At 40.1% G+C, this 19,576-nt stretch overlaps 1 protein-coding gene across 3 annotated transcripts in view; it reads left to right on the top strand.

Moving 5' to 3' along the window:
- ASB4 (ankyrin repeat and SOCS box containing 4) overlaps positions 1-18,473 on the top strand; it is an 80,662-nt gene extending 62,189 nt beyond the window's left edge. For 2 of the 3 annotated variants that reach the window (XM_047420471.1, NM_016116.3), the window contains exons 4-5: positions 3,593-3,706; positions 4,727-7,389. In XM_047420471.1, coding sequence (XP_047276427.1) covers positions 3,593-3,706; positions 4,727-4,915 — 303 coding nt within the window. In that variant the 3' untranslated portion in view covers positions 4,916-7,389. Of the gene's footprint in view, positions 1-3,592; positions 3,707-4,726; positions 7,390-11,367 lie in introns of those variants that run through there. The other variant, XM_017012303.2, reaches the window with a different exon arrangement.
- Positions 18,474-19,576: the final 1,103 nt, after the last annotated feature.

Consider the following 19,576-nt stretch of genomic DNA (forward strand, 5'->3'; position numbering starts at 1 on the left):
AGAATAAGAGATGCCAGAGACTCATCAAGGTGAGCTTACTGAACATCTTCTGTTTTCTGGGCTGGCAAGGTCAAAAGGAGGCTGTGGTTTCTCCCTTTGGGGTCCACATCAGTCTGCTGTCTCATGTTTCCTTTGTCTTATGTTTTCATGAGGAAAATGCTGCTAAAATAAAACTCCCACTAATCTCTGTCCCTAACCTTCTCACTTCACTTAACAGATTGATGAGTTGGGAGGAGGAATTGACTTAGCTTGCTCAACCTTGGGTCTAGAGGATCCTTGAATTCTTTGTTCATTTATGTGGCAGGCTTCCAGTAATAAACTCTGTCTGCCAGGGAGAGGCCTGCAATTTTAGGGTATAAATTCAGTTTGGGGGTAGAATGTTAGAAGCTGTGTATGGCCCCCTAACTAAACATATGTAATCTATTTTATCAGTAGTAAAGATGATATTCTGATCTCTGATTGTCATCTTCATTTCATTTTTTAATAGGTCCTACACTAAAAAGGGAAAATTACTTATTGGGCTTCTAACACTCTTCGTGCTGTGACACCAAGGGTCTTAAAGATGAGGACAGGGCAGCCCTAGCTACAACTTTTCGTTTATCCTTTATTTATCCCCCACAATCTGTTCCTTACCTGTTTCAGTCCACCCAACTCCCAGTGACTTGACCTTCTAATTCAATCTGCTGGTATTTAATCTGTCTTCATCTCTTGATCTTCATGACCCCCTTGATAATCTCACTTTGAATGCTTTCTTCATTTGGTATCTTTCACTCTGACATGTCTGGTGTTTTTTTGACTTTGGAGTCATGCAGACTTGAGTTTAAATCCTGACTCTACCATTTCCTAGCTAAAAGACCCAGAGGTTAAATTTTCTCAGCCTTTGGTCTTAAATCTCTGAAATGGGGATGAATATAGGACCAACCTCATAGGATTGTTCAACGGCTGAGCAAGTTAAAGTATATGAAGATTTAACACAGTCCCTTGCACATAGTAAGTCCTCGAAAAATGGTAGCTATTATTTTCCCTTCTTCCTCTCTCGTGCCTATTAGGATTTCTGAAGCTGTAGGTAATGATCCTCTATCTTTTCCATTTATACCCATTTAGACTGTCACTGAACTTCATGGCTTCTGCCAGCACATACTTTGATGACACATAATAACTCCATCTTAGCTTTCTAATGGGGAGCATCTATTGTGTACATTTTTTGCTGACATGAATGGCTGGGCGCGGTGGCTTACACCTGTAATCCCAGCACTTTCAGATGCCTAGGCGGGCGGATTACTGGAGGTCATAAATTCAACACCAGCCTTACCAACATGGTGAAACCTCGTCTCTGCTAAAAATGCAAAAATTAGTCAGGAGTTGTGGCATGATTTGTAATCCCAGCTACTTGGGAGGTGAGGCAGGAGAATCGCTTGAACCCAGGAGGTGGAGGTTGCAGTGAGCTGAGATTGCACCATTGCACTCCAGCCTGGGCTAAAAACGTAAAACTCCATTAAAAAAAAAAAAGATGAACTATCCTCCTCCTCATTATCTGTCCATCCCAGATTAGTATGTTCCTTATTTCTGTCAATCAGTGGCAACTCTTGTTTGTCCTCTATCTCTGGCTTCCAAGTTGTATTCTTTCTTCCTCCTATCTGATTAGTATTAAGCCCTATACTTGTTTCTTCTCCCAGCTTCAGCCACCCCTCCTTCCCAGCACTAGCCCTGACACCAGCCTGGGAGCCGGTTGGTGCACTTCCCATTAGCCTCCCCTCCACTCTCTGCCCTCGATGCACTTGTCTTCTCCTCTGTGGGTTGCTGATGGTGCTCAAGGATCACCTGATGATCTTTATGTTAGTCTTTTATTATTTACTGACTTATATTGCTCTCTAACTCTTTGAAATTATTTGTGTCTTTTCTCTTCAACTAGGTTGTAAACTGCTTAAAGACAAAAAACAGGTCATAAATCTCCCAGAATTACTGTCATAGTACTAAACCCAGTGCTCAATAAAGGCTTCTTAATGGAATGGATAGGTTGAATATCATCCCTTCTCGTTAAGAGTGTATAATAGCCTCTTCTTGCCTGTCAAGTCAATCCCAAGCTCTTCAGGCTGACTTCCAGATGTGCTGCCAGCTGGCTTCATCTTACCAGCTCTGACCTTTAGCCCTGCCCTGACTCCATCCAGGTTGGCCTCTTTACTGTCAACACACACAGACACACTCACTCACACACACACACATGCACATGCACACACATGCGCACACTCTTACTTAGTTGGATATTAAGATCATAACCTTTCTGTCTCTGTTTTATCTGTGATCCCAAGACATTAGGTCTTTACCACCCTACACTGAAAAAGGCAATGCTAGACCACCTATGAGGAAGGTTGTCGAGCAACACATTTCCCTATGGAGAGAAAGTCGGTTTTGTGATCTTTTGCTCAACAGTAATAGGTTGAGGTTGATACGGTCTGGGAAATTAGGAAGAAATGTCTTTGGAGAAAGTTGTTTAAGTGCAGAGGCATGCCTCTCTTCTAATGCCTCACCTAACACCAAGTGAAAGGGGCTTTAGGAGGACCCCCTCAGAAAGGTTGATTTATGTTCTCCGAAGTTTCATGGGAAAAATGGAACTGATACGAAACTCATGATGAACAAATTTAGAAGAGCAGATCTGTGGCTGGAGCTGCTTGTTGGGTGGCAATGGAAAGAAAGATGATTAAACTGGGAGTCAGGAATGCCTTTTACTGGCCACACCAAAAGTTGGTTAAGTGTATAAACATCCATGTAGTTTAATCTAAATGTTAAAGCTAAATCTTTCTATCTCCTGAAGGAGATTCTGGCCATCTTGACTAAGCTTTCAAGTATTTTTGGTTGGTTAATAAACTATTAAACAGAGTGTGCTAAGAGCTAACTGAATTTCATGTCATCTTTCATTTGTTAATGAAAGGTAAAATACCAATAAGTGTGGTTTAGTACATGACACCAGCCCTCTGCAGGCATTGGACTGGGAAGATAACTTGGCTCAACTTGCATGTTACTCTGTAGTTTACTTTACCTCGTGGTCACCAGTGAATCTAAGTTGATTGACTAACATTGAATTTTTTGATAAAATGTTCTGTAGAGCTGGAAGAGTTTCCCAGGCAGCTGGGAATGTATTCTGTGTCCAGTCTGTCTCTAAATTGCTTCAATTATGTACAAAGGCAAAGTAATTCTTCAATTCTCATCTTCTTTGTTAGTGCCTCTTTTTCACTTGCTCGTGGAAGGTGAAAGAAATTGGTTTGATTTTATTAATCTATCTATTTGCCATGGTGGCAGTGTACTGGAATACTCAAAGGCGTGAGACTTCTGAAAATCGTTTTAGCATTCCAGGGAGCTTAATAGGTCTGTGGGTTCTGGTTTTTTTTTTACAGATAGGGTCTTGATGTGTTGCCCAAGATAGCTTTGAACTCTTGGGCTCAAGCAATCCTCCTGCCTCAGTCTCCCAAGTAGCTGGGATTACAGGCACATGCTACCATGCCCACTGGTCTGTGAATTCTTGATGTCTCTGTGAGCAGAATGAATGAACCATATATGTGCATCAAACAGATGAAACTCTGTGCTTCCTCTGCAGGTGATACAGGCCTGCCATTCTTGTCCTAAAGCAATTGAAGTTGTAGTCAATGCCTATGAACACATCAGATGGAACACAAAGTGGAGAAGAGCTATCCCCGATGATGACTTGGAGGTAAATAATCGATTCCCTTCTAATAGTTTTCACTATCAAGTACTTCCAGACTGCTCTAGAAGTACAGAAAATTGTAACAAAAAAGTTGGTTTTGAGAATGCCTTTAAAGCGTACTCAAATGCAATGAGACAAAGGGTTATAAAATGCAGGTTTGAGAGTTAATATTTCCATCAAATATGTGGCATTAAGGAGTGTCTTGGGGAATTCCTCCATTTAAGGGCAAGTTGAATTAAGTATATAAAGGTGGCAGTTTTCCTTTCTTCTCATTAATTTAGATGAGTTAAATGATAACATTTGGAATTGCTTATATAGCATTTTTACCAGAATATTAAAGCGTTTTGTGTAGATTATTTCATTTACTTTTAAATATCATGAAGTGACTATTAGGCAGGAAAGAGTTTTAAAAACCCTGTCTTGGGTCCTACAGAAAACCATTGGCAGAGTCAAGTTCTCACTTGCAGACTTTCAGACTTTGCTACCAATGTATACCAGTCCTTCCCACTGAACACCCTTGGTTCTTGGTTTTAGATGTCAAAGTCTGTCTGTAACACATGGAGAGGTATCAGGCACAGGGTGCAAAGTTCACTGGGCTTGGAGGTCTGTGGCTTAGGTGTAATCTTATTCTGCTACTTATTGGCTGTGTTACTTTTAAAAGTCACCTAACTTGAGTGAGCTGCATTAATCCTTCACTTCCATTAAATATCTGAATATATGCATCACACCAAGCACATAATGTGTTTAAAATTGCTATTTTGGTTTAGATTCATCCAGGCACTTCACACTTGCATATTTTATCTTATCTCCTGGGTTCTGAATTGTAGAATGTTATTTCCCCTCCCCTTTCCTTGTATACCACCGCCTCACTGCTCCCATTTCAATATTGCGTTTAATTTTTGCCTCACCAATAGAGACCCTAGGAAGCTGCCATTACGTATAGAGGTTAGTTGCAGCATTGCTGATTTTTATTGATGTAAACTGTGGGGCCTTGCTAACTTTAATTTGTCTTGCCTTCCTTTTCAGAAATACTGGGATTTTTACCACTCTCTCTTTACTGTGTGCTGTAACTCTCCAAGGACTCTCATGCACTTATCGAGATGTGCCATTAGAAGAACATTACACAACAGATGCCATAGAGCAATTCCTTTGCTTTCCCTCCCATTGTCATTGAAAAAGTACTTGCTTTTAGAGCCAGAGGGAATTATTTATTAAGCCTTATGAGACAGCAGTTCCCAATCCTAGGTATTTAAGTGGACTTGCTGGGTAGACACAGTTTGCCTAAATAAAATGGTACTTGGGTTGATTATAACACTTCAGGGATTTCAAAACACTTTACAAACACTGCCATTAATCCTAGAATATCATGGTATGGGGAAATAAAGAAGAAGTAAAGTTAAGGAATTTTCAAAGACAAGGATGTATTCAGAATGTACTGATAGAACAGTAATAACTAATATGTATAGTGTTCTTACTAAGTACCTGAAATATTTTTGTAAAACTTCTTATATCTTATCTCATCTGAAATGGGACCCAGGTTTTCTTCCAACCAATATAATTCTGTGCCTTATCAGTAATATGTTTACATTCTCATTCAAATGGCCATATAGCAGGCTTTGCAATTGGCCTCTTAAACTTGGTGTTTTCCCCCATTACCCCTTAGCAGTAATTACTGTCACTAGTTTTGCAAACTCCTACTCCCCAAACCAAGCTACTCAAGTTTATTTCAGTGATGAAGGCATATGAGCATAGTCAAAACAAGGAGATCTTGGAGTCAAATTAGAAATGAGAAAGAAACATCAGTCCAGTTAATAGTCAAGAATGGACATTTGAACCAGACATCACTGAGCCAGAGACTGGAGATGCAAAGATGAGTCCCATGTGACTCCTGCCTTCCAGGATCTCACCATTTAGCAGAGGATCCAGACATACACACAGCTAACTGCAATATAAAGTGATGGGGCAAGAGTACAGGTGCAGACTCACTTTTAATGCTTATCTTTCAAAGTTGTGTTTCTGACATGAAGTGTGATTTTTCTTTTAAGCATGAAGTTAAAGAGTGAAGGGGTTATGTAAAGTAGAGGGATCTCCTGCTCTTGTTAGGGTATTTTTAAGGTTTTTTCTAGATAGTGTGTCTTTTTGGTATGGTTTCTTGGTTAGTATTAATACTTTCCCAGACTCCTTGAGAAAAATATTGCACACTCAATGGCTCCAGTGCATGTGACAAGGAAGCATAGGAAAATGGGGGAAAGAAAGTGTGTGAGGGGACCTAGTTGATTACTTCGGTCTTTTTATGTAGCAGACTGACATTTCATAGCATTGTAGCTAAGAGATAAGGAGCACTTTGCTAGTGACAGTGGGCTACGAAAAGTAAATAGAGAGACTTTTTGAAAATGGTAAAAGTTTGAGAAACTTGGGAAGATTAGTGTGTTAATCAGGCTTGCTAGTTAGTGGATTGCAGAAAGAAAAATGTAGGTGATTAAGCTCTGGGCCTTGTGGTTTATGAGGTCAATTTTGCTTCACTTTTTTTTTTGTTCTTGCTATAATCACTTTTAGATAAGCTCATTGCTCTTAGCATCATTTTTTAGAGGTTAAAGCAGAAGTAAATTGCAAACAAATCTGTCAGTTGTGAGCAGATTTCTTTTATGTGTGTGGTTCTCCATCATATTTAACTTTGGATGCTGGAGTGTTGAATAGAGATGATGTCAGATATTCCAATAGGCTATCATTTAATGTTAACTGGCAATCACCTAACTGGTTAATCTCAGTTGAGACTGTGCTTCTGAACTGGGATTGTCTTACTCCCAGGGCTGTGTAAGAAAAGTCATAGGTGGATACAATAATCTCTTTTAAGTATCAGTTTTACTCAGATATTTTGGTGGAGATATTTTGTACTAAAACAAGATCTATATCATGGAATAGAATGCTGAATTTGTATGAATTATTCACATAAAGCTTGATCTTTCAAAAAATAGTTTGCTTGCAGCAAGTGGTATTAGAACACATCCTAAAACAGAATGAAATGATGTCTTTTGCAGCAACTTGGATGGAGCTGGAGGCCATTATTCTAAGTGAAGTAACTCAGGAATGGAAAGTGAAATACCATATGTTCTCACTTATAAGTGGGAGCTAAGCAATGAGGATGCAAAGACATCCAGAGTGATATAATGGACTATGGGGACTTGCAAGGGGAAGCTTGAGAGTGGGGTGAGGGATAAAAGACTACATATTGGGTACAGTGTACACTGCTCCAGTGATGGGTGCACTAAAATCTCAAAATTCACCACTAAAGAATGTATCCATGTAACCAAAAACCACCTGTACCCCCAAAACTATTGAAATCTTAAAATAGTAATAATTAACAAAGTAAAACAAGATCACACCCTGGAACAATTGGAGGATTGCTTGCTGCCCTGCATCTTAAGGCGTATTCTAGCAGCAAAGCTTGTGATGCACTGACTTGGGGCAAGTAAAACTGATGCTGAGGACAAAGGGAGAAGATGTTCCTCGCCCAGGGAAATGAAAACTTTTCTTATTCACCTTGCTTGTGCTTAAACACTTATGTTCATCTAGTGTAGAATACATGGCTACTTGTTTGTAATTTTTTTATTGGTGGAATTAAAGTAATTTTTCCTTATCTTTGAACTTTTATTTAGAGAACTTAAATAAAGCTCTTCTGTCTCCTTTCATCTTTGTGTTTACTTACCAATAAGACTCTTTTTCCTAACCCCGCTTTGACTTTTCAGCAATGACACTGAAGAACTCTACACATTTCATTGCTTTTATCAACAGTTAAAAAGAAAAAGAGAATCAGGGATTGTGCCTGTAAATAAATAATGTTTTCAAAAGAAAGTAAAGGGTAACTGTGGCCAAAACACAAATACAATGCAGCCTCTTGCTGTAAGAACAAGTGTGTTTTAATAGTAGTAAAGAAATTGTACTGAATCATTCTCCTCTGCCTCTCACCATCTCTGTCCTCCTGGGGTTTTTCATTTTCCTTCATTCTCACTGTCCACTAAACCCTGGGCAAAGCAACAGAGGAAATTACATCCTCATGACGCCTTTGTTACTTTCTTAGAAAACTTTCTGTAAATAGGATCTACTGTCTTGAAGAAAAAAACAATCTCTCTTCTGAAACTTACATGAGAGGAAGAATCTTAGATATGAGGGAAAGATCACCTATCTTGTTTTCTCTCCTTCTTAGGAACTAGACACACTTGTGTTCTATTTTTTAATCATCGAGTGTTATGTCTCTACTTTGTCCTTCCATTCTAAACCCAGTGGGTTCTGATAAAAACACAGTAGTCGAACGATGATTGTAGGGATAAGAAAAGTAACAAACCATTTGCAGTGGGTTATCAATGTTGGAAAAGACAGCTGAGTCTTACGTTTTTATTACTCATCTGATTGTTTGTGAAGAACTTACAAAGTTCTAAGTTGGTACACTTTCCAAACTTTTACAAATGAATTCAACTATTCACCCATTTTCTTTGAAACACAAACACCACAGCTAGTATCTGGAAGGAATTCCTGTTACTTTCTTTAGGAGGATAAAGTAGATGCATTACAGTTAGGTGTTTGGAGGTTTGGCTCTGATGCTCTCTGTCTGGGTCCCCTCTTTATCTGACTCATAATATAGGGAAAATGACACACCTGCTCCAGGCCTCAGTTTTTTCATTTGTAAAATGAGAATAGTCACGGTGCCTACTTCATAGGACTTTTATAGGATTGTTTTGAGGGTTAAGTTATTAACAGATTAAAACATGTAGAGCAGACCATGACACTCAGTAGCATTTTATTGGTATTAATGTCCTTGCTTTTGTCATAATCATTATATTGTAGAGATAGGCTCCCACCAGTGGAGTAGTATATCCTTAGAGTGAATCTGTAGCTGCAGGTGATACATTGTAGATTTCTATTCACTTTGGGAACTGTTGGGTGAGCTTGTACTGTGTCAGGACTTTGATGACAGCTGGGAATCCACGGGGGAACAAGACAAACCAGGTCCCTGACCTTCCTGGGCTTTTTTGAGATAGGGAGTAGGGATAGAAATTCTCCACTGAGTGGGGGATTAGTAAACATGCCAACCAATTAATTTTTGCATCTTTGTATTTTTGTAAGTAGTAAAATAGACGCAATGATCTATTTTACTATGGAAAAATTTAGTCACTTGAAAATGTATCATATACGGAGCTGATTTCGCAGCTGTTTCCATCTTCAGTGGGGGAAAGAGAAGGAGGAGATGAATTTTGTAGCAGGACATAGATTAGCAATGAGATCCCTAGCAGGGAGGGTCATTGGGTATCAGAATGAATGAGCAGAGGGTAGAATAATTTCATTCATTTATTTTTTGACATGCAAGAATTTATTCTCTTAGCTGGGTATGGTGGCACATGCCTGTAGTCCCAGCTCCTCCGGAGGCTGAGGCAGGAAAATCACTTGAGCCCACGAGTTCAAGTTTACAGTGACCTATGATCACACCACTGTATTCCAACCTGGGCAACAGAGTGAGACCTTGACTGTAAAAAAACAAAAAAAACAAAAAAAAAACCCAAAAACTTTATTCGGTATTACTACCTGTGTAGTTCTCTGATAAATGTGGGAAGAAGAAGAGGAGTGTTGTTATCAAGTCACTTTAAGATTCATTTTTAGTAGCTCAAGGTTTTGGTTTATTTGTTTTTATTTAGAAATAAGGATAAAAACTACACAGTTTTTTAAAAAAATTAGATGCTGTCTAACTGAGCCATTTGGTTCATCAGAAAGGATTTTCAAAACCTACATTTCAGTGATAAGTTGCTTTGTTCATGTTTGATCATATCTGCCATCAATGAAAAACAATGTATGCAAAAACATCCCCCAAAAGTGGTTTTTTTTTTTGTTGTTGTTTGTTTGTTTCTTTGTTTTGAGACAGAGTCTTGCTCTGTTACCCAAGCTGGAGTGCCATGGCACGATCTCGGCTCATTGCAATCTCCACCTCCCAGGTTCAAGCGATTTTCCTGCCTCAGCCTCCCAAGTAGCTGGGACTACAGGTGCCTGCCACCATGCCTGGCTAATTTTTGTATTTTTAGTAGAGGCAGGGTTTCACCATGTTGGCCAGGATGGTCTCGAACTCCTGACCTCAAATGATCCACCCACCTTGGCCTCCCAAAGTGCTGGGATTACAGGTGTGAGCCACCGCGCCTGGCCAGCAGTTGTTGTTAAAAAAGCGACACTAAGTCGTTTAAGTGAACTTAAATTTCTTCTTTACTAATTGGTTTTCTGTTTTCTCAGAAAGAGCTATGTCTCAATGATATTGGATAACCACTCTGCAAATATATGCTGAATCCAGTTATGGAAATAAAATAGCCACCTTGTATTTCTTAAAGACAGCCTGGATTAGTTTTCAGTGCTCACTAAGCAGAGAAAAATGGACAAAACAGCTATCATGCTGGGGTGTGTAAGGCAGCCTCAGATGTAGAAGGTAGGTACTGAGGTCCTTCTCAAGATCCAGGAGCCAAGACACACCTGCTGAGAGGTACAAAGGCAAACATTCACTCCTTGTCCTGTTCCAGATGTGGTGGAAGCTGAAAGTCAGTATTTGACTGACAAGTGGTGGGAACCAATATAGATTACGAATAATTTGATTCAGGAAGCAAGACATACAAAATGAGCTGCCCATTCTCTAAACAAGGATCCTCTCTCTACCCTGCTCTGGGTCTTGGCAGAATGACTTTCACAGACTGTATCAACTGACTCCCTGTCGCCTGGCTTCCTAGAGGGTTCAGTCCATGGGAAGATCGGCAGAAGATTGGGGCCCTTCCTGGCTCCCTACCTACACTTCCACAGATAGCCCTTAATTAGTTTCTTTTCAGTCACCCCTATTGAGTGTGTCCTCCATTTCCTCTAGGGATCTGACTGATGCACACACAAAAAACACTGTGACAAGTCCGTGACAGCCTGGGCGGTGGTCGGGATGGTAAGTGCTATTGGAGTCGAGGGCAGATAGAAGCCACTATGGACCACGGAAGGCAGGTGGACTTGATCTGTGACCTGAAGAGGGGTGGGGTTTAGGTAATAGTTTGGGTAACAGTAAGGCCCTGGGGTTTGGGAGGGAATTTAAAAGTGAGTATCCCTGACAAAGGGTGAGAGCTGGAGTATACACTGAGTATTCACCACTGTCAGTTAGAGTAACTTGATGCACGTAGATGAACATTTGTTGTGTGTGGGGAGCAGAGGATGAGGTTGGAAGAGCTGAGTGGGATGAAATTATGAAATGTCTCAAAGAGTGGGGAAGCACCATGGGGAATCAATGAATATTATTATCATTATAATTATACTTTTTCCAACCTTATAATTTTTATAGCAGTAACAATTATGATACAACCATGTAACATTTACAGGGTATTCATCATTTTTAGAGCACCGTCATGATGTTTAATACCAGGTAATTGCCTTTATCATTACTCTTTTCTTCCATGCCACCCCCAAATACAATTCTGATCCTTTAGATCTGAAAAAATATGTAAAAATGATACTAATTAACCCTCCCTTCTCATGTAAAACACTCCAATCATATGGAATAATTTACTCTGGAGCAACAAAGGGGATGATAGCCTTACTTTTTCTTTTTATCAAAAGCTAAAGATTTTAAAAATTGCATTAAAAAAAGAAAGAAATGTTTCTTCCAGGGCATCAGAAAATGACAGAACAGAGCAAAATTTGGAGGTCTAGGACTGCTTATACTTCTCAACATGGCAGTGTTCAAGTGCTAAATTATTCACTGAAGCACTGACGTCATTACAGTCTTTCAGGGATCCCAGGACTCCAAATACTGCTGAAGTCAGATGGACAACAAAAGGTCTCTTAGGATGATCCATCAAGGAAAACACAGGCATCAGCAAATTGTTCCTAAGCAACATCTGGTTAATTCTATGACAAAAATACAAAGAAGCTGAAAACTGTTTACTCCAACTAGCACTGCAGTGTGGCACAAAGAAAAATATATGGACTTTGGAATTCAATGGCTTGAGTTTTAATCTTGATTGTTCCATTTAATATCTTTGTGAACTTGGGTCAGTTTCTTAATTCAAGTGTCAATTTCTTTATTTAGGTAATGGTGATTAACTACTTGACATTCCAGACTCTTTGGGGGAATTTATTTATTTTTATTTATTTTATTTTATTTTTTTGAGATGGGGTCTCACTCTGTTGCTTAGGCTGGAGTGCAGTGGCACAATCTCGGCTCACTGCAACCTCCGCTTCCCAGGTTCAAGGGATTCTGTCATGTCAGCCTCCCAAGTAGCTGGGATTACAGGTGCATGCCATCACGCCCAGCTAATTTTTCTATTTTTTGATAGACAGGGGGTTTCACTATGCTGACCAGGCTGGTCTCAAACTCCTGTGATCCACCTGTCTCGGCCTTCCAAAGTGCTGGGATTACAGGCATGAGCCACTGTGCCCAGCCAGATATGACAGGGTTTCTAAGACATTTATGTGCACAGGCCAAAGATCCAGCTTTTTTTTTTTTCTTTTTATTGCATTTTAACTGCAACGATTTTCCCGTGGTACAGACTCACTCTCTGAAACAAACTGTCCCAAGCTGTTTTGTTAAGGGTTCATTGCTCCTGGCAGTTTGGCCTAAAGGAGGCACTGTAGGAGAATTTTCTCCCTGCTGTGAATCACAGCTATGGAATTACACACAGCTTTCATTTCTAAAGGCCGTCTTGAAGAAAATTAAACCAGAAAGATCAAGAAAGGTAAATAGGTATTCTATGGCACCTTTCTTTAATCTCCTGGTTACAGTTTCAAAGAATTTTGCTCTTGCCTTCATTGGAAAGAGATCTGGGTATCAGGAAATGATTTTAGAACCATAGGTTTCTGTCCTGTGGTTACATAATCTGGAAGGAAAAAAACAACATTGCAGTTAGTTTCTCTCTGTGTAGCACTGAAATAGACAATTTCATTAGTAATTCCATTCATTCAATTTCCCTTCTTTCTTTCTTCCTCCCTGTTTTTCTTTCTGTCTCTTTCATATTCTCTCCATTTCTCTCTTCCCTTATTGTTTCTTGTTCTCATTCCTGGGTGTGGTTTTGTTTTTGTTTTTGTTTTGCTTCTTCGTGGCTAGGATCTCAGTGTGAGCATGTACTTATGTAGAGTAAATGTTGATATATTCTTAGGGTCTGTCAACAACTGGCAAGAATAGCATTTGTTGTCTTTCTAGCAATAGATTGCAGGTGAGAGATCAGGACCAAGCTAGGATTAAAAACTACCAAAGAGACAGGAGAAAAGCCTCCAAAATGAGATATGCATGTTTCTGCCCATCCCAGGCAATGCCAGAGAAGCCTAATCATGCCATCTGAGTCACAGGTGTCCCATGCACTTTTGCACATAGTCAGACATCTCCACCGGTATGGTCACAGAGTTGCTCCCTTCTGGAAAATCATAAAAGAATTAGTTATTGAGATAATATAGCTGAATAGGTAGCCATACAGAGTAATGCATAGAATCAGACATGCCAGAGTTGGAACTCCTCCCTGTCACTTAATATTTTCTGAGGCCCAGTTCCCACCTTTGTAACTAGGAGCAATAATTGTTTAGTACAATGTCAGGCACCTGGTTAACTTTTAATAAATTGCAATTATTATTATAGTCCCACCCTGCTTGAATTCTAGATTTCTGTAAGTGACTGACTTGTAGACCCTGCACATTCCACAAATGGTTAGACACACACATATCTAACAAAAATATGTGAGCATATGAATAGATATTCAGTGATATTCCAGTTGCAGCCCACTGAAGGAAATCTGCCCATTTGTAGACATGGGCCGCATCTAAATAAATTAATATGGGCCCTCTTTCAATGTGTAGATATTTGATTTAGTTTCCAATGATTCTTAAATATTTTTTTTTCTGCGTTGGAGCAAGGTTGACTCATTGAACATATGCTGTGTCTGTATCTTATTTTGATATTATGTGGTGCTTGAATTTGAGCTCTTCAGGGATGGCAAAAGTGGGGTGTGTTATTTTTTACACCTACGGCAGACAATAATAACCAACCAAAATATTCTCTCCTTTTGAGCCCAGACTCAGCCGCAGAGTTCTTCTCAGTACAGTGTAAGGACTGTTACTTCCAATTGCTTAGAGTTGATAGGCAAGGTGAAATACATTTGTCATCCTTGGATTTCATTCTCAATCCTCTCACAGGCTCTTGGTCTCGAATTGTATAAATAAAAAGCTGGATGGAGTTAGAAGGCAGGGCTGCCGGCACAGGATTTCACTTTTGGTTTTCTTTGGTCAGGAGAAGCATAGAATTTTGCCATTTATTCAACAAATATTTATTGAGCTGGACTCTGTACCTGCTGTGGATTCAAAGGTGAATAATGGCAAAGTCTTGGCCTTCATTGGGAAACTGATGAGTCTGCACATTCAGATACCTGGGGTGCTTTCAAAAATACCACTCCAATTTCCCACGTCCCCTTTTAAAAGCTTTAATAGGCGAATTAGGTTAAGTACCTCACTTATACTATGTTGTAAATGCCTGTCTGCCAGTCTCTACCACCAGGCTGTAACCTCCTTAAAAGAAGGAACTGTAATCTCTTCAGTTTTTTAAAAGATTAAGGTAAAATTTACCAATAGTGAAATACACAACTTTAAAATGGATAATTGTATGAATGATTACAAGTGTATATACCCTTATAATCAACACTTTAGTCAAGGTAAACAATACATTTATTACCCCAGAATATCTTCATGTATTCTTTTGTCTCTTTCTAGTAAATTCCTATCTCCCACAGGCAACCACTGTACTGTTTCTATCACCATGGGTTAGGTTTACTTGGTTTTGAACTTCACAAAAACAGAATTATACAGCATATATTCTTATGTGTTTGGCTTCATTCTCGTAACATAATATTTTGGAGATTCATCCATATTTTGCATATATTAGTAGTTTATACTTCTTTATTGCTTAATCGTGTTCCATCCTGTGAATATACCAAAATAAATATTTATGCATTCTCCTAGCGATGAAGATTTGGGTTATTTCCAGCTTAGGGTAATAATAGATGTGAGGGTTAGTTTTGTGTGTTAACTTGGCTAGGCTATGTGTATCCAGATATTTGGTTAAACATCAGTTTAGATGTTGCTGTGGAAATATTTTTTAGAAGTAATAAACATTTAAGTTAATAGGTTTTGAGTAAAGCAGATCACTCTCCATAATATGGGGTTTGTTCTCATCCCATCGGTTGAATGCCTTACAAGAAAAAGACTGAGGTCCCCTGAGAAAGTGGGAATTCTGCCTCCAGATTGTCTTCAGATTCATGACTGAAACATTAACTCTTCCCTGGGTCTCCAGCCTGCTGGCTTCCCCTGCAGATTTCAAACTTGTTAGTCCCTATAATCATCTGAGCCAATCTCTTAACATATTTTTTATCTCTCTTTCTATGTATATATAACCTACGGGTTCTGTTTCTTTGGAGAGTCTTGACTAATACAATGGATGAATATGCTGTAAACACTCTTGTTCAAATCTTTTTTGTGGGCATGTTTCCATTTCCCTTGGGCAAATATCTAGAAGTGAAATTCAAGGTCAGCCACTTTAATTTTACAAGAAAGTACCAAACTGTTTTCCAAAGTGATGTACATGTTTGCATTTCTACCAGCAATATGAGAGTTCCGGTTGCTGTCATTCTTGTCAATAGTTGGTGATGTAAGTCTTTTTAATTTTAGCCATTCTGATAGGTAAATAGTGATAAGTCTCTGTACTTTTCATTTGTATTTCTCTGAGGGCTAATGATGTTAAACAGCTTTTCACTTGCTTATTTGCTATTTGTGTATCTTCTTTGGTGAACTGTCTGTTGGAATAGTTTGTCATTTGTTCCCTTTGTATCTCAACTCCTAGCATTTAATAGTCACTCAGTGTATACTGTTTTAAGAATGAATGAATGTTATATTGTCCATCAGTGATTATTCCAAAATGATTACTAAACTTTTGTGTTATTATTTGTAATGCTTATAAAGTACTCAGCAATGGTACCTAACACATAGTCAACACCCCACAGTTGGTAGCTATTAGTGCCATCCCTATTTTGACTATGAGGAAATGAGGACTAGAAAAGTTATGTTAATCAAGGTCTAGTTACTAATTATCAAAATTGCTGCTGAAATCTGGACTTCTCAAATCTGTATTTCATGTTTTGAGTTTTTTGTTACCAGTAGCTTGACTAAGTATTAGATTAAGCATTAACTGTGTTGCTTCATTCATTTTTTAACTCTTATTTATAGCAAACCTGACATGGAAAATATAATGATGCTAATTCCTTTACATGCTTTAATTTATTTAATTCTTACTATAACCCTATGAGGAAAATACTATTATTTTTATTTTATGGACGATTAAACTGTAGTATAGACAGATTATGCAATTGCCTAGGATCTCACAGGTAATTAAAGGTAGAGGCAGGATTCAAACTCAATCACTTGCATACCAATGCCTGTGTGTTTTGCTTTGTTTTAAAACCATTATGCTATCCTGTTTCTTATGACAAAATTAATTTTGGACATGTTGATTTTGAGGGGCTTATGGGATAGCAGGATGGGGATGTCCAGTAAATCCCTGACACTTAGGAGAGAGTTACGGGAGGATGGGGATATAGAAAGAGAGTGCACTTGATAACTACAGTGCTAGACCATATTAAGAAAGTGGTTAAAGTGCCTGAAATATTGGAAGATGGAGGAATTTCACTAGATTCCATTCCAGAAAGTTCCATAGGAGACTCCATTTTTTTTTTTTTGAGATGGAGTCTCGCCCTGTCGCCCAGGCTGCAGTGCAGTGGTGCGATCTCCACTCACTGCAAGCTCCGCCTCCCGGGTTCACCCCATTCTCCTGCCTCAGCCTCCCTAGTAGCTGGGACTACAGGTGCCCGCCATCACGCCCGGCTAATTTTTTTGTATTTTTAGTAGAGACAGGGTTTCACCGTGTTCGCCAGGATGGTCTCGATCTCCTGACTTCGTGATCCGCCCGCCTTGGGCTCCCAAAGTGCTGGGATTATAGGCGTGAGCCACCGCGCCCGGCCGAGACTCCATTTTTAAAATGGATTTACGTTGTTCACAAGAACAGGTCTGTAATGATGAAATCTTACAGTCTGTTTTTAAGATACTCTAAAATATTTTGGTTGCTGTTTGTTATTAGACTCTGACAGGTGGACCTAGGTTGCCTGCCCAGAGGGTCTAGGAGCTCACAATTTCTCTAAAGACCCCTTTTCTGTTTACTGGAAACCCTAGGAGCTTCCTTAGGGGCTTGTCAGGCCAAGCTGACTAATCCTTCCTTCTGCTCAAATTTCACTCTTCTGAAAAGGGAGTTTGACGAGCAGGGAGTGAGTCACTAGCTCCAAGATGGCAGCAAGGAGCACTGGTGTTAATCTGTGTTATCTTAGTTCCCACAGGGTGAGTAATCATGCCTGGCCAAATCTCACTGGGCAAAACAGGTGCAAGTTTCCAAAGGAAGGCTTTGTGACCATAATAGGAGGTTAGCTGAAATCCAACCTGTATTTACTCCTTGCAACAGAATACTTTATGAACCATGGTTTACAGGAACATCCAGGTTCCCTAAAAATTTATCTCTTCCATGATGATGGAAACACAGCAACGTACACAGACTGGACCTGGGGACTATCTTAGCTTCTGAAGACTTGCACAGCAGGTCTAAAAGTCCAAGGCTGCCTCCTGACACTCCAGAGAGGAACTATGTGACACAGAGAGACTAAGCCAGGCCCTGCCCACAGGGTTGCACACACAAACATGTTTTCCAAGCCCTTTATACACTCAGCAGGGAACACGCCGTTCTCTCTGGGAGGTTGCCAGAAACTTATAAGAGAGTCTGATCAGTGCCAAGAATAGACAAGCAAGGCTTCTCTCCTGTCTCGGAAGGGGACACTGTGTGGTGCTGAGTTATTACCGCCCCTCTGTGCTCCTCTAGCCTTCAAAAGCAAACCTGAAACTGTTTCCCTGCACTTCTTAATCTCTTGATCAGTCGAAAAATTATTGCTGGAGCTCGCTATACCTCTTTGGGCACCTGTAATCTTGTTGTCCAAACCCAAATGCAAATATGTTCCCTCTGCTTGCATTTGTTTTGCATCTCAGAGACTCAGGCCGTGGATCTTTGAGGTAGAACCCAAGGAAAATAGTCAACAACTTTGTCCATTTGCCCAGGAAGAGTCTGAGTTGTTGCTGTTCCTCATTAGTCCTCTGCTTTAGCTTCAGCAAGGACGGCAAAGGTTACTTGAAATTCAGCCAGTGCAGGCAATGTTGAGAAAAAACTTGACTCTTCTCTTCCATGTACAGGATGTCTTTCCAACCCCTTCCCCAAAGTTTTCTTAAATCCTTGGTGTCTTCAACTTGGCCCCAGCTCTAAAATTAAATATTTACCATGTTTTTTCCTCTATAATAATACTGGGAAGAATCAACCATGCGTTTTTAAATAAAAGTCTCGCTTTTGTCACGCAGGCTGGAGTGCAATGGTGTGATCTTGGCTCACTGCAACCTCCAACTACCAGGTTCAAGCAATTCTCCTGCCTCAGCCTCCCGAATAGCTGGGACTACAAGCGCATGCCACCATGCCAGGCTCATTTTTGAATTTTTAGTAGACACACGGTTTTGCCTTATTGGCCAGGCTGGTCTCAAACTCCTCACCTCGGGACATCCACTCGGCTTGGCCTCCCTAAATGCTGGGATTACAAGCATGAGCCACTGCGCCTGACCAGTTTTTAAATAAAGCACTTTAAATGAGTTATTCACATATCCCTTGTATTTATATAGGGTACAGCTTTTTGTTTTAAAGCTGTTTGAATAGTTCTCCAAGTTTCTGAGACTCAACTGCTTTTTTGGCTTATGAAATTGCCATTAATCAAGATGCATTCATAAGGTATCAATTCCCTGAAATGTAGGTATTTAGTCCATTCTATCTATCCATGCATCTATCCATCTGTCCAATACTTTTTGTTTAAAGTCCCTAGAATAACCAACCAGCCTTTATATGACTGAATTTGAGAACCTACGGCAATTAACATGATAAATGTCACACAGATCCTTATTGTTTATTAAGCAACTGAAAATAGAAAAGCTCAGGGGAAAATAATACTTGTGAATGTCAGGGATTTTGCCATGGAGAGATTTCACCAACCATATGCAACCACAAAATATAGAATGTAAAACCCAGGCACAATAAGCTCATTCTAGGCTTAGTGTGTCCAGAATTGGTGGGTTCTTGGTCTCACTGACTTCAACAATGAAGCCGCGGACCCTCGCGGTGAGTGTTAACAGTTCTTAAAGGCGGCGTGTCCGGAGTTTGTTCGCTCTGATGTCCGGATGTGTTCGGAGTTTCTTCCTTCTGGTGGGTTCGTGGTCTCACTGGCTCAGGAGTGAAGCTGTGGACCTTCGTGGTGAGTGTTACAGCTCTTAAGGTGGCTCGTCTGGAGTTTCTTCCTCCCGGTGGGCTCGTGGTTTCGTTGGCTTCAGGAGTGAAGCTGCAGACCTTCGCGGTGAGTGTTACAGCTCATAAACGCAGTGTGGACCCAAAGAGTGAGCAGCAGCAAGATTTATTGCAAGGAGCAAAAGAACAAAGCTTCCACAGTCTGGAAGGGGATGACCGGGTTGCCACTGCTTGCTCGCGCAGCCTGCTTTTATTCTCTTATCTGGCCCCACCCCATCCTGCTGATTGGTAGAGCCAAGTGGTCTGTTTTGACAGGGCGCTGATTGGTGCGTTTACAATCCCTGAGCTAGACACAACGGTTCTCCACGTCCCCACTAGATTAGCTAGATAAACAGTGTCCACACAAAGGTTCTGCAAGTCCCCACCAGAGTCAGGTACCCAGCTGGCTTCACCCAGTGGATCCCACACCG

Source organism: Homo sapiens, chromosome 7, assembly GCF_000001405.40.
Source record: "Homo sapiens chromosome 7, GRCh38.p14 Primary Assembly".
Taxonomy (NCBI): Eukaryota; Metazoa; Chordata; class Mammalia; order Primates; family Hominidae; genus Homo; species Homo sapiens.